This window comes from Homo sapiens, chromosome 14 (genome assembly GCF_000001405.40).
Source record: "Homo sapiens chromosome 14, GRCh38.p14 Primary Assembly".
NCBI lineage: Eukaryota > Metazoa > Chordata > Mammalia > Primates > Hominidae > Homo > Homo sapiens.
In genome coordinates this window covers 56181364-56196982 of record NC_000014.9, presented here as the reverse complement: position 1 = coordinate 56196982, position 15619 = coordinate 56181364, and the positions used below count along the sequence as shown (strand labels likewise).

Sequence of the window (15619 nt, the reverse complement as noted above, 5' to 3'; positions counted from 1 at the left end):
ATATGTTACATAAACCTTGAGATAGATAAGCACTTCTTATGCAAAACAAGAAACTTATAAAGCTTAAGTGAGAAAATTCCAGATTTGATTATACCCAACTCAAGTATGAGATGAGACACCATGAACAAAGTTAAAAGATAAACAAAATATATGCAACACATATAACAGATTCTACAAATTAAAAAACAGAAGTCAAACAATACAATTCAAAAATAGGCAAGGAATTTAAATATCACGTAGTTAATAAATGTCAGGAAATTAACAGATTCTAATCTTAACACACCATATCGGCAAAAATTAAGACAAACGTTCCTAAAGTAAAAATATTTTTTAAAGATTATGATTTTAAAATGATCCTATCGGCCATTTTTCAAATGGGCAGTATAATACAATCACAGTGCAGAGGGCAAGACAGCTTTGGCAAGAGAAAAGAATGTACAAAAGCAAGAGGTTGCAGATTTTTTTCTTTCAGCCACATCTGTGATGGATCCACACTGAGTATGTCTGAAGCAGAGGATTACACATTTTCCAAAGCAAAGATTACCAACCTAGAAATAGTGATGTAATTACTGTCTCATCACCAGATATCAAATTATCAGAGACTAAAAGTTTTCTGTGGCTCAAATTGCTTAGTAAACACAGACTTAGAAGGGCCTTCTCCAGAAATAAATGCCAGACACACTAGTTTCAGGGTTCACAATTTCACCGAAAAACCCCTCAAAACAAAAACAAAACGAAAACATGCTTTGGAAAGAAACAGACATCGTTATTTTAAGGAGGGGTGGGGAGTTACTCCTAGGGAATCTCTTCTCTGTAGCCTTTAAATTCATTTGGTATTAATCCTATTTATACAATGTAACCTCCACAATCCTAGAAATTGTACTTAAAAATCACAGTCATAACATTTTAACCATTTCTGTACTTATTGTAGTCACCTGCTGAGTAAACACTTAATTGTACAGAGTCCCTCCTTCTCTACCCACGCCCAGTAATGATAAACTGACATTTTGCAGTTAAATAAAAGCCACATCCTGCCAGCTGGGAATACACTTGCAGAGGCCATGCTCTCCTGTCCGGAGCACTGTCACATGCTGCCTGAAACCACACCTGCCAATCACGGCTTGCGCACATGTGCAGCCTCTGAGACTGGGGCCCAAACTGCCAGCTGGGCAGATTAGGCTTTTTGACATCTGATTCACATTTAAACAACCAGAAGATCTCTGTAGAACCGCTCCCAAACTTAACAAACGGTTTAATATGGACTAACACAGCCAAGGTGGGAAAGTTTCTCCGGATGAGGGGTTTGCAGTGTTTGAACACAGAGAATGGCAGCATTTAGAGGAAAGGTATCCCCACCTGTTTCATTAGTGCCACTATTCGTAAGTGAAAAGATCTCCACTGCCTCTAAAGCCTTTAGCTAAATTGCTGAAAGGCCTTCCACACAGCAATTCTGTTTTACGGCCATTAAAAGGCCCAACTAGCTTCAGAACTGCCTCGGTGGACAGATGCAGTGGAAAGCTGCTTCAGCCTCAAACCAGCTGTGAGGGGAGGGGGTAGGACCACCCAGGGCTGCTCACAGGAAGGGGAAGCTCTGCTCTCTCCTGGCAGTTCCGGTGTTTTGTCTCTCCATGCCCACGTCCCTACTAGAAAATGAGAATGGCAAAATGGTGAGAAGCAGACATAAAGACACAATATGACAAGTAAACAGGGTAGAGACTGAGCCACAAGAGACTTCCAGAAGCATGCTTTTGAAGGGGGTTGGGGATCCCCTTTTAGAAGGATGGTTATAAGGAATACCAAAGAGATTCTCTTCGTCCTCTAGACTTATTTAGCTTGCATGCATCCTTCCACCTGCACAGATGCCTAAAAACATTTCACTAACAGCTGTAGAAACAAAACATGTGTCAAGGAAAAGCATTAAATTAATGAGCATCTAGTTTACAGTTTTAGACTGAATTCTCATCAATGGGAAGTGAATTATCCCACATTCATTAGGGTCATCATTACACACAGTGAATAATAGGATACTTTAATTTTGCACAGCTGGCTCTTGAATCCAAAGCATCAACACTCGGTCCTTATTTTCACTTACATAAAAGACAAGATCCTAAATGTACTAATCTTTTACAATTCTCCATTGACTGAATTTTGAGGCAGAGGAATGGGCACTGGTGGAAAGGAGGCTAGAAGGGTATGGGCGGGGCGGGGGGCATTCTGTGAAAGACTTCATGTGCCAGTCTCTGGACGTGGGGCTGCCTTATCCAGGGCTGCCTTATCCAGTTACCATGGAGAATTATTCAAGCTTTTCAGCGGGGTGAAGGGATGCCCCTGAGCAGACATGCTTCATGTGATGGAGAGAGGGTTCCACATTACCTTCAAAGTATATTTAGCACTTAAGTGTCACATCTAACAGGCATGAATATACTAAGGCCTGCAGTGAAGGGAACACTATCAGTGGCTCATCCATCAGTCCATTCACAAATGTCCACTGCAAATGTCCATGCTAGGGATGGCGACTGGTGAAGAAGCAGATTCTGCAGGATCTGGGCACTCACTGGGGCAGTGGGGCCTGGTATTAAGGAAAGAAAACCTTAAGCGTGATGCAGCTTTCTCACTTAGATTGGACAGGGTAGGTAGTGAAGAGACCACAGCCAAAGACAGGAAAGACAGAGGAGATTCAGAGGGCAACAGCAGTGCAGGGCCGGATGCTGACGACAGGAACAGGGGCACCTGAGCCTGCAGGGAGAGAGGCAGACACATGCCAGGAAACTTGCTGCCCGAGTGGGAAGTAAACTGTGTATTCATAGTCAGGGCCCCAGCTTCCAGGTAATAAAAGCATCTGACACTCAGCTGCATTTTTATCAGTGCTTCCTACGACGTACAAGTCCATAAAGTTCAGAAACAATTACTAGATTTAAAAAAAGAACAACGTTGTAAAAGACTTGTATCAACTTCTTAAGCCAAATTAAGACCCCCCAACAATGAAAAAATTAACAAGAGCTCAAGGCTCAAGCTAGCTAAGCAATCCTAGAAAGGTCCTGTAACTCTAGGTCTCAGTTTTCACATTGGGAAAAGTGAACAGGAGGAATCAGAATCTTCCTAACATTCTAGGAAAATGGCATCATAACTGGGGCAAATTATATACTCCTTTATTTTGGCAAAAAAGGAGGCTGACTTCCCTTTAAAAATCTCACATTAACTTAAAACATTTTTTCTACATTAAAAATTCCAATTCTTTATCAGAAGCGTGTTTTAAAAGTCAGAAACTTGATAAAATTTTAAAATATTGGTCATTAACATATTTGAGATTAACTCATATGGATTTTTTAAACCTATAAACTGGTCAATGTAATTCAGTTGCATGTATCACTAGTGGAGGTATTTGGCTGATTTAAATTATTTCAAGTCTATTTTGGTATGTATGACTAAGTATTTGCTTGCAGCTTCTTCTCTTTTTCCTTTCCCATTGTCAGGTTTTAGGAAACAATATTTCCCTTCTGTCCAATCTCTGCTATTCCTTCTGTAGGCCCTTCCCTCCCCAACTTCCCTGCATTTTTTTTATTCTTTGAAATTAGCAATCATGGCCACAATCAGGGTTTTAGCAAAATAAATTCTTGTCAAATCAGATAATGGGTTAAATTCAAGGAGGAGGTAGCTTCAACTGATCGAGGTAATAGAGAAAATCAGCATTTCTTCCAGCCCATACTCCCATCTGGGGGCATCTCACTACCCTCTGTCTTGGGCTGGGGACAGACGGTCTTGAAATGTGCCTCCAACTCTGGGAAGACAGAGGCTCAGAGGACTGAGACCAGCCTTTCTTAATCCAGAACAAAGATGGATTAACCCCATATTGAAAGTCAATTTGTAAGTCATCTCCCTCTATTTCCACAAAGCCTGATTTAAAGCAATGGTTTCTGCTAAGCAGCACAGAGTTACTGAAGGCAAAGGAACTTGTCGGAAGAGTCAGATATGCATTCACTTTGCCACACTGCCTGCCAGAGGATACAGCAATGCAGCTTTTTAAAATGAAGAATAATTTGTTAAGAAATTTTCTCACTTATTATTACCCCTTAGGTCTCCATTCTGTGACATGGTGAAAAATAAGAAGAAAAGATGTACTATAATACCCAATGTTCTTACAAATAAAAACAGTAATATTGGTTAACATTTGTTGAGCATTTACAACACACCAGGTGCCATTCTTAAAGATTTACATGTATTAACTCATTCATTCTAATCTATGAGTTGAGTAACATTATAGTCCCCAACGTGAGCGATGAGAAAACTGCGGGTCAGAGTGGTTGTCACTTGGCCAAAGAAGAGTTAGAATTTCAATCCAAGGAATTTGACTTCAGAGCCTGTACTATTAACCAGATTCCATACTAATTAGAGCTTAATAGCCTAAATCAGTAGCCCTCCAGGGGACATCCAGTAACATCTGAAGACATCTTTTGGTAATCATACGAGGGCACAGGAGATGGTACTGGTGTCGAGTGGGTAAAGGCCATAGATGCTGCTAAACATCCTAAAAGGCACAGCACGGGCCCCACAACAAAGATTATCTGGCCCAAACTGCCAATGGTGCTGAGGTTGAGAAACTCTCAACCTTTAATTAGAAATAATATTCCTAAACCTTTTCATGTTTCCCTCCTTTAACCCAGTTTAACACGACTCGACTTTAGAAAATGATGAACAGGGAATGTACACTAGAAAGGTATCAGTGTAACAAAAGACAAAATGCAAGAAATTTCAGTAAATTGGTGCTAAAAACTTTATTCCATTTTTCAAAAACAACAGTAACTTCTCATTAATCAAAAATAAAAATCTTGGCCAAGTGCGGTGGCTCACACCTGTAATCCCAGCACTTTGGGAGGCCGAGGCAGGTGGATCACTTGAGGTCAGCAGTTCAAGACCAGCCTGGCCAACATGGCGAAACCCGGTCTCTACTAAAAATACAAAAATTGGCTGGGGGTGGTGGCATGTGCCTGTAATTCCAGCTACTTGGGAGGCTGAGGCAGAAGAATCACTTGACCCTGGGTGACAGAGGTTGCAGTGAGCCGAGATCACACCACTGCACTCCTGGGTGTGCAGTGTGAGTACAGCCTGGGTGACAGAGCGACACTCTGTCTCAAAAATAAAAATAAAATCTTTTCTTTAAAAACAAAAACAAAGGTAGTTAACTAGAGCAAAACTTACTAAAAATGATTTTGTATTATAGCTCAAGTACAAAGTTCTCAAAATTATAGTTTAGATTGCCAGATTTTGAAGTTGCTAGTGGCACAGCAACTTCACTAGAGGAATTTACACTGCCTCTGTCTAATCTCACAGGCTCAGAAGGTGGGCAAGGAATGGAAGGAGTTCCTCATGGGTACTAGCAACACCCTTTGGGCAAATACCCTTCCAGCAGCTGGCTGCAGACAACCTGATCTGAACCTGCTGCCCTTCTCCTTTTGAGGTGCCCAGGCAGGCAACCCTTCCACAGCAGTTACAGTCTTTGTGGCCTGGACTCCACCCGGTATCACTGTGTGGTTCATTGCTGCTGCCAGTCAGCCACACTGCATTTTCCCACCTGAGGATTCTACTCGAGTGTTAGGTAAAGATGAACTTTCACAAATGAGAAGAAAATATTTCAACCAATTTTACTGTAACACTAAAAACTTCCATCTGTCTCTGGTCAAAAGTTATTAAACTGCTTTGCACTTCATGAAATTACCTAAAAAGCAACAGATTCTAAGAGTCCTAGCTGGGTGTTGCTCATTCATTCCATCAGTTATGTGGCCTTTCTTCTCTGGGTACCTGCCTATAAGAGTGGGTCCTGCTGTCCAGGACCTCACAATCTGCTGGGAACAGAGACTTGTCAGGACCAAGTCCAATGCAAGGTAGGGAAAGGGCACACTAGAGAACACCACAGATTTCACAAAAGGGGTGGCATCGGGGACTGTCACTCACCTTTCAGAATAAAATCCAGAGTTTACCATAGAGTTCATCCTCCAAATATTCAATTCTGTAAAATCATTACTGTTTTAGCAGACTAACCAATTTTCTAAGTGAGGACACATTTTTACTTATGCAACAAATAACTACAATTCAAATTGCTGCAAGTTATAAATGTGACCACTGGTAGCTTTTATTGACTTCCATATTTTTTGACTTTACATCCTAAACTAAGTTAAAATACCTTTAATAATTTGCAAAAACTTAACAGGTCTTAGTGTTATCAAAATGTTAAAGCATATTGGCTAACAGAATGAATATTCACACAATGGAATATTATATAGCAATGAACAATTATGATATCCAACAGAGGTTATTTCGCTCACAAATATAATGATACATGAAAGTAGTCAGCAACAAAAAGTCTATACTATAGATCCAACTGTACAAAGTACCAAAACTAATCTGTGGTGTTTGGTCAGGATGGGGGTTATCTGTTACTGCTTGGGGGTGGGAGAGTAACTGGGAGCAAGGGGGTCTTTGAGGGTATTGATAATGTCCTGTTACTTGACTTGGGTACTGTAGAAATGGATGTGTTCACTTTATGAAAATTCATCAAACTCTACATGTATGTTTTGTGTACTTTAAAGAAAATCTTCTTAAAATAAAAAATGCTGGGTAAGATCTGCTTATCAGAATTCTCATTCTTCTGCATTTTAAGAGAACCAAATTTAACATTCAGTCTACCTAACTTGTAAGACTTAATTATCAATGCTATTTTAGAAATTTTTAGAAATGACATTCTTAGATTTGTGACACTAGAGTAAAATAATAAAATAATTTAATGCTGGGAAAAACTGCTGATGAAGTGGTATGTCATGTTCATGATTTCAATCAAGTACTACAGAATGACTTGAAGAGATTTTTTTTAAATATAACTATTCATATGAAACCTCAATTTAGAGGTCCAACTCTAATTCGAAAAAAATACACAACTCTTTGTTCAAAATGCAAGAAATGAAACTAATGTTAGCAGACCAGAGAATGCAAAACTGATTTAGATCAGATGCATTTTCACATAAGAATGCCTTATCAAAATGTTGTAATTGGTAAGTACATTCTCCTGTGACGAAAGGCACTGGCTTTCAAAGTTAGTATATTCAACTAATTTAGAAACTGTTCATTGTTAAACCTTCACTGCTGTGATTTAAAAACAAAAACAAAGATACATTTAAATTGTAAAGTTTATAGAGAAAATCTATATTCAAATTATGATGATGCAGTTTTAATTTTTAATCTATCAATGCATTTTAGCTAAGTTTTTAATATAATTAAACTGCCAATAAGTAAGTACAAATGTTAGGTTTCATCATATCCTACACCTATGTATAACTTTTATAACAGGTCATTAATACTTCCCAGAGAAACCAGCATTAATATTAGCTAACATTAATCAACTGCTACCACGTAGTAGGCATATGATGCGTTCCAGGTGTTTCCCATCCTGAGTCACTAGCTGGAGGCAGACTTTATTACTACCAGCAGGGATTATACATTCCCAACCTGTGAAATCAGGCAGAGAGCCATGAAAGTTGCTTTAGCCAGTGCAACAAAAGCATGTCACTTCCAGGCGGAAGCTTGAAGAGCTATGTTCTCTCTCTTACCTCGTCCTACATAATCTTTGAAGTATACATCAAGATGGAACCTCCATCAGTGTGGCTTCCTGAATTTCCACAAGGAACACAGCCCCCAAGTTAACCCATGATGGACAAAAACTGAGTAGTAAACATGCTTTATTGCTGTCAACTCACTGAGATTTCAGAGTTGTTACTGTACAATAACCTGGTCTCAACTGACTGATATAAATCCCTGTTTTATTTTATTTTCTTTGAGACAGAGTTTCGTTCTGTCACCCAGGCTGGAGTGCAGTGGCGAGATCTTGACTCACTGCAACCTCCACAACCCGGGATCAAGCTGTCTCCTGTCTCAGCCTCCCCAGTAGCTGGGACTACAGGCACAGGCCACCACACCCGGCTGATTTTTCTATTTTTAGTAGAGACGGGGTTTCACCATATTGGTCAGGCTGGTCTCGAACTCCTGACCTCAGGTGATCCACCTGTCTCAGCCTTCTAAAGTGCTGGGATTACAGACATGAGCCACTGCGACCAGCCTAAATCCCTATTTTATAAAGTGAAAGATGAGCCACAAAAAGGCATCTTTTGCCCAAGAGCCTACAGATATTAAACAGGGAAACTAAACATTCAAAAAATCTACATTTGAAAGCCCACACTTTCACTCAGTTCTGCTTTTCATAATTTAAAAAATATATAATCAACCATTACATCTTAAAACTCTCAAAAACAAATGCTATGCCTGAAATGAGAAGGAAAAAAGACCAGAGATACACACAAGTTTTTATGCAAAGCTGCTTATCATGATGCTATTTATAATAGAAAAATTTAGAAACGACAATAGAAGGGTTAAATTTTAATGTTAACACACTGAATACATTAACATAATGAAATACTATGCAGTGGCTAAAAACCAAGTTTTCAATGGTCATTTTATGATACAGGGAAATGTCGTAACATAAGAGACGGAAAAAAGGATAGAAAGCAATATTCATAGTATAATCCAAGATTCCAGAACTAACCTGAACAAAATTTACCAAGCACACCTGATACATAAACTATCTATGCATGTGCCTGTGGGTTTGCAGAATACCAATCCATTAGTTATTGACCCATTAGAACAAGTGACTGTCCCAAAGCAGGTCACACTATTTGGTTACTCATTCAACAAAGTGTGCTTGGCAATGGGAGTACAGAAATGAAAGATAGTATCTGCCTTCAAGGAGCCTGCCGTCCAGGAAGACACGAGAAGTCAGCCAATTCCAATGCAGCGTCAGAGCACTTGTGGGGATTTACAAGAGGCATTCTAGGAGTTCACAGAAAGACTTCTCACTGAGGCTGGGAGTGAGGGGAGACGTCCAAGGAGGAAATGGCAGCTGGGCCAACTTTTCCGAATACTGATATTGAGGGCTAGTACACCAGGCTGAAGATCATCCTGGGCAACGACAACGCCCCCTGCGAAGGTCCACAGGCCAGAGAAAACGTGGCCACCTGCGGAGCACAGAGAAGAGCACGGCGATCCTGCAGGGCTCACCTGGCAGCAGAATGAGCACAGTGTGAACCAGAAGGGAGCTGCCTATCTGAGAGCTCCCAAACCTAGGCTGCCCTCCATCACCTCTAACTTCAATAAAACAAAACCAAATCTTCCTGAAGCCACTCATTCGTGCCTCCCCTGGAACACGGTTATGATCAACAAAGAGCTTATAAATAGGTATCTCTGTGAATCAGTCAGCAATGGGAGGACTTCAAAGAGGATAAAGTACTTTTTCAGAAAAGTTAAGGCCAATCACGCACTTTAACGTGAAAAGCAAAAGGTGTAACAAAACAGGCCACAACCATTCCAAGTCAGCCACTGGTACCTCAATGATCCTCCCTTGAAGTCTGTGACTTCTTTTCAGCTATACAGAACTTATCCTGATATATTCTCTACTACAAGCGGTCATAACTACCCCTACAACCAAACTACTTAAAAGTCAAGCCTCCATTATTTTTGCTTTTGTAGAACAGGCTCTTTCTACAGAGCACCTGATTTTAGACTGACAGCTTATCCTAACACTGATACTTAAATAATGTACAAACTTGTCCCTTGTAGGTCTACAAGGCAACTTCCATTTTTATTGGCAAATATCATATTCACTTATTTTAGGGTTGCAGCATTCTAGTTTGGAGATGAATAAATTTCCCAATTCACAGTATAGAAACGTGGAAAAATGAGGAGCAGAACCCAGCTTTGGTCTTATCCTTCAGAATATTTTCTACCTGCCATCTGCAGCAACAGACCAACATTCTTGGGTCCTGGGTAGCGCACCTGGCTTAGTGACTTAGGTCAACATACTGAGCTTCCTTGAACTTTTTAACTCCTTCATTTGTTGAATGAGCAGTCAGTTTGAATAAAGTTCCTTCGAACTTTAATGCTCCATGTTTGTTTTTTTAATTTGCAGCAGAAGATTCTTTTCCTCCATGAAAAGATGGGCTGCAAGTGCCTGAATCAGGGTCATAATTCAAATAAGTTTGAGTAGAAGCATAATTATAAATGCAGATAGAACTATTCTTTCCGCACTGACATGTTAAAAGCAACTCTAATAAAATTATGCTTTAAGGACAACACAAATTAAATTATTTTTCCAACGAATACATGCATCAAGTCAAAATTGTAATTACTGTATATCAGTAATGCAGATAATTACACAGATAATTAAGTTACTGAGTGCTAGAGTCAAGCTTTCCTGCTCTAATGCTCCATCCAAAAGAATTTTAAAAGAAACAAAAAACCTCATTCCCTGCCTCTCAATTCTTTCATCTCTTCCCCAACCTTTCATTTCCCCCACCACGAGATTAAGAGCTGCTCAGTAATGTGAGGTATTTTGCATTTGATTTTCCATAAAATAGTATGTATAAGTTTTCTCTTGTGGTTATAACAAATTACCACAAAACTTAGCAGCTAAAAACAACACTAATGTATTATGTCACAGATCTGTTTGCCAGAAGTTCAGCAGGCTTGGCTGATTTCTCTGCCTGAGTCTTACAAGGCCAAAATCAAGGGGCTGACAGGGCAGCATCTATGGAGGTTCTAGGGAATAATCTGTTTTCAGGGACATTCAGGGACCTGGCAGGATTGAGTTCCATGTGATTACAGGACTGAAGCCCTTGTTTCCTTGCTGGACAGCTGCCAGGGCTGTTCTCAGCTTCTAGAAGCCACCTGCACTCCTTGGCTCATAGTCCCCTCTTCTTCAGATCCAGAAGCAGCAGGTGGAGTCCCTCTCATGCTCCAAATCTCTCCTGCTCCTTCTTCCCTCACATCTCATGAGTCTTCTCCATTCCCCTTTCACTATTAAGGATGCTTGTGATTACAATGGGCCCACCCAGATAATCCAGGATAATCTCCCTATTTTAAGTCTCATGACCTTAATTCCACCTGCAAAATCCCTTTTGCCATGTAAGGTAATATATTCACAGATTCCAGTGATTAATGTATGAGCATCTTGGGAGAATGGGGACAGAAATTATTCTCCCAACCACATAATACATGCAGGAAAAAAGAGACAAATGTCCCTTTTTGCTAGAAAACAATGAATAATTCTACCCAGACCACACAGCAAAGCAGCAATTTATGTTAAGTATCAATACATACACACAAAATTAGTTGTTGGTCCTTGAAAAGATGAAACTACATATGCTAGAAAAAAAAAGATTACAGAAAAACAAAAATGCTAATGTCAAACTAGATTAATTGCTGAAACTAACAAAACTGTGATATAATGAAGCAACTCTTCTACTTTCTTGAAGTATTCAGTGGACACTGCAAATCATACCTCAAATTTTAATTTTAAACATACTGTATCTTAAAACCTACTTTAAACACTCTTACACAAATCTGTATAATGAAATGATGATAAGTAGGTATGCTGCTTCAGATCTTAAATCAGTGAAAGTAACACTGCCTGGCTTAAATACAGCAGCAAAAAGCTCAACATTTTACTTAGGTGGTTTGAAAGAAAATGTATTTAAATAAGAGAGCCTAATGTTTGCTTTGTGAGTAACAGAAGTGAAAAACTAAACCAAAAATAAGAAGGAAAAAGAACAGCTCACAAATTACTATACTTACATTATTTGCAACGACAGAATTACCAAAAGAACTACATAAAAACATAAAAGTATTGATTAATCAAATTTTACAGAAAAGTACTGATTAGTCAAAATTAATGGAAATGTAATAGAGGGTTAGTAACAGCCAATTCTTGATCTAAAACTCACTCTATGTAAAACATATAATAGGATAATCACCTAATCACAGATATACTTATTAAAGTTATTCATGTCAGGAGTGATATTATTTAACAACCAGCCTTTTAATAAAAAAATAGCCATATAAATAAAAAATTGTAAAATATTCCATTTGTTCTCTAAATAATATGAATTACACATTTTATGAAACCGTATCCCAGGTGAAGTAAGTTCTAACAGCAACCATTCATCAAATCATGTGACTCATTTCCAAGTCATCTGTTAATTGTTACAAATTACTGGTATGATCTTTTTATTTGATGTATCTGTCACAAGCTAAGCAATATATGAGCTGTGATTGATATACGAAACCAAATTCTTTCAATAATTTCCCCCATTTAATTTAAAACAATGGGCAAACCAAGTCTTAATATATACAGATTTTCCCATCACATAATACTGCTCATAGTAAATCTTCCATTACCTTCTACTGAACTAATATTAGTTAAATTCTATTTTTTCAGCCCTAATAATACTGAGATTTTATATTCACTATTTCTATTACCATCCAAGCCTTATGAAAATCCCTTATTTATTGGATTGTTCTGTTTCATTTCTGGCTTAATTATACAAAATTTTGTTTGCCTTCAATCTATGGTGCTTTGAAAACAACAATTAGCCAAGTTCTCAGAATCAATAAATTAAAAGGATGTTATTAAAATTTAATTGTATTCCTTAGATTTGTCACCAAATAAGTGCATTTTCTTTTAATTTGCCAGGCAATGTAAGAGTTTTTCCCTTGGAATTAATATTTTGTTTCATTTCAAATTTGTTTGTTCCTCTAATACCTTCTTCTCCATCACAGTTTCCTGTATTTGGTTTATATATTCTATCACTTAGTATTTGTCAAATAAATCTGTCCATTTTAATAATTAAAATTTTTCTTTTTTCTAAAACCATGGAAAAATTCACATTGGTTAGTATATCATGTAATAGAGCCAAACTGCTAAAAAAATTGTCCAAATGCTATTTTAACAATGTCCATTAACATGAATATTCCCATCTTCGGCTGACCGTTAAAGGTCCAAACAGTCATCTCAATTCCAAGGTCTCAAATATGTTATTTAATTCTCTAGTATTTATTTGATACAAGATAAATGTAAAATTTCCAAAAAAAAAGTTAAGTGGTTTACTTGGCTTATCTTCCTATTGCATCATCCAGAGATAACCAAATATAAGTGAGACAGCATCAAATGAAAACACCTAGAAGTTTTTCTAGAATTTCAGCTAAGACAACTTTTTCTCCCTAACACTATACTTGCACCATCTGTGAAACATTCACAAGGTTTTCATGTAAGTATTTCTCATTGAAACCATTTTTCTTGAGTATGACTAATAAAGTTTAATATATTTCAGATGTTGTTCCTTCCAGCTTCATGAAATCAATAAAAACCATCACACTGTCTTTGAAGTCTTGAATATTGCATTTTAAGTAAATTATTAAAACATTTCTATGTGAAATTGTTGGAGCCATGTCAATAATGACTGAAATTTTACCTTCCTGATTTATAAGTTCTCCAAAATGCATTTTTGCATCTCAGTAGATATATGTTTTGCAACGATCAGGACCATAAACCCAAACTTCCATGCTACATTCACATAAAAACAATTCTTGAAGTCCTAATAAATACTTAATGTCAGAAAATTATTTTAAACTATACAGTATATTATATTGATACTTCGTAAATTTTTTTTCCTTTGCCTTGTCAAAACTCTCAGATAAAATGTTTTTCGATGTTGTTATTTCAATTTTTTGGAAAATGATTTATGTTTATTATTTTTTGTTGAAATAATCAAATTGTTCTTGATTCTAGACCTACAAATCATTTGTTTCAGGTTTATATTCCTGCACAGTATTAAAGATATTCTTAACTGTGTTTTATTACTGTTATTTTTTTCTTCTCTCAGAGATTCAGAATATTCATGTTTATGACATCTAAAAAAAGAAAACCTTCCCAAACTTCATTGCCTCTTTATTTAAAATAAAATACTCAACAAATTAATTATTGAACTTCTAAGTATGAAACACCACACACGACCAATCCAAGAGTTATAATGCAGTAACAATGAAAGAAACCAAAGAAAGACCTATTTAAAACTCAGTTATTAAAAGCAGGAGCAATGCAAAAGTCTGAGGCTGATGATAAGGTGATGACTCTCCCGAAGCACCGAGGCCCCAGCTCCATCATGAACGTGCAGGAGATCAACGCCACTCACTGCCATGAGACACAGGCTCGGCAGACAGACAGTGAGCGCTTCCAAAGTGGACCCCAGCACATCCTACAAAATCAGCTAGGGTGAATGAGTTTATGTTGAAAATTATATTGTTAGTTTTACCACTTCTCACGGTTACTGTTGTATTATTCATCAACTGATAAGAAAGTGTTTCAATATTTTATCAACCAGTAGAGCCACAGCAGCCCAAACACGGTGAAGAGCAGCCTGGTTGTAGCAATGACATTAAATGGCCCTCATGTTTCTCTAAACTATCAAAGACCACTAATATTTTCCATTCGGAAATAGGCCAGCTGGAATAAAGTGATTTTCAGTTACTTTTTAAAAGTAAAATATCCAAAAAAGGACATTTCAATAAAGCATAATCTGAGAAGGGAAAACCATCATGAAGAGTTTTCCATAGTAATGTTGCTAAATTTAAAACATGCAGCTAACAAAATATTTCCTATTAGGCACCAGTATCCACACCGTCACCACCACCACCATCATACTATTTACTGGTTAAGTAAGAGCAAAATAGTTGTCCCATATCATAAAAAAGTAAACGAACACATAAACTGACTTGATTTCTCAGTCACATCATGTCACTCCCTCTGCTTCACACCCTTCAATATTTCCCCTTATTTAAAAATCCAAATTTTCCAGCCAGACCCACAAGACCCCTGGATCTCTGCTTTTTTGGTCAACTCCTCTCTCCTCTCCAGCTCACAGCTCTCGCACCACTTTTTTAGAGGTCCTTCCTTGTACCTTGTCTAAACTCTGTGCCCCCTTCCTCTTAGCACTTTCCACAATGCGCAGTTGAATGTATATCCCATGATTCTTTCTCGTTTGCCTACTCACTAGACATTTAGCTCCATGTGGATGTGTTTGTTCACAGCAGAATATCCAATACCTGGCATGATGCCTGGCCATGGAAGGTGCTGAATAAATATTTGTTGAATAAATGGATGGGTGAATAAATTGCTAAAAGCCCTATGCCTATGCAACAGAATGGCCAGAAGTAAAACAGGACTTTTAATTTAAAAACACACACACACACACACACACACACACACACATTACATAATCAGAGAAATACCTCTGAGTATTATTCTAAGAGCAAATACATACATGAATAAACACTACACAAATAGAGATTACACAACAGTAGCACGCACTTGCCATCCTCATTTGACTTAGCCTGGATATAGACATGCATGGAAAACTAAGAGGTCCTGTTTCCCAGCTGCCACGACCACCAGCAAAGGGATATCCCTGTTCTGCCCCCAGAATGTGGGCAGAGAGAATGATTGTTGTGGTGGAGGGAAGAAACAAGACAGCCAAAAGGCAAAGAGCTTAAATCCTAGCAATGAATAACCACACCTACCCTTCTAGGTCCCACTTTCCCAACTACAATCAAAGATGAACTTTCATTACCAATACTGCAGCATCAAAAATCTCAGGGTACACAAACCACTGTCATTTCAGGCCAGTGTCTGCCAAGTACCATGACATTTACTGGCATTCTTAAGGGGCATGGGGTGAGTAATAAAGAC

At 38.1% G+C, this 15619-nt stretch overlaps 1 protein-coding gene across 7 annotated transcripts in view; it reads right to left on the bottom strand.

Moving 5' to 3' along the window:
• Positions 1-15619, bottom strand: part of PELI2 (pellino E3 ubiquitin protein ligase family member 2) — a 183114-nt gene that overhangs the window by 104542 nt on the left and 62953 nt on the right. Inside the window, exon 1 of one of the 7 annotated variants that reach the window (XM_047431612.1) lies at positions 1-15619. This exon is cut by the window's left edge and continues 28387 nt beyond it. The exons of the other annotated variants lie outside the window; for them this stretch is intronic. The gene's annotated coding sequence lies outside the window, so the exon portion shown is untranslated. 7 annotated transcript variants of the gene reach the window in all.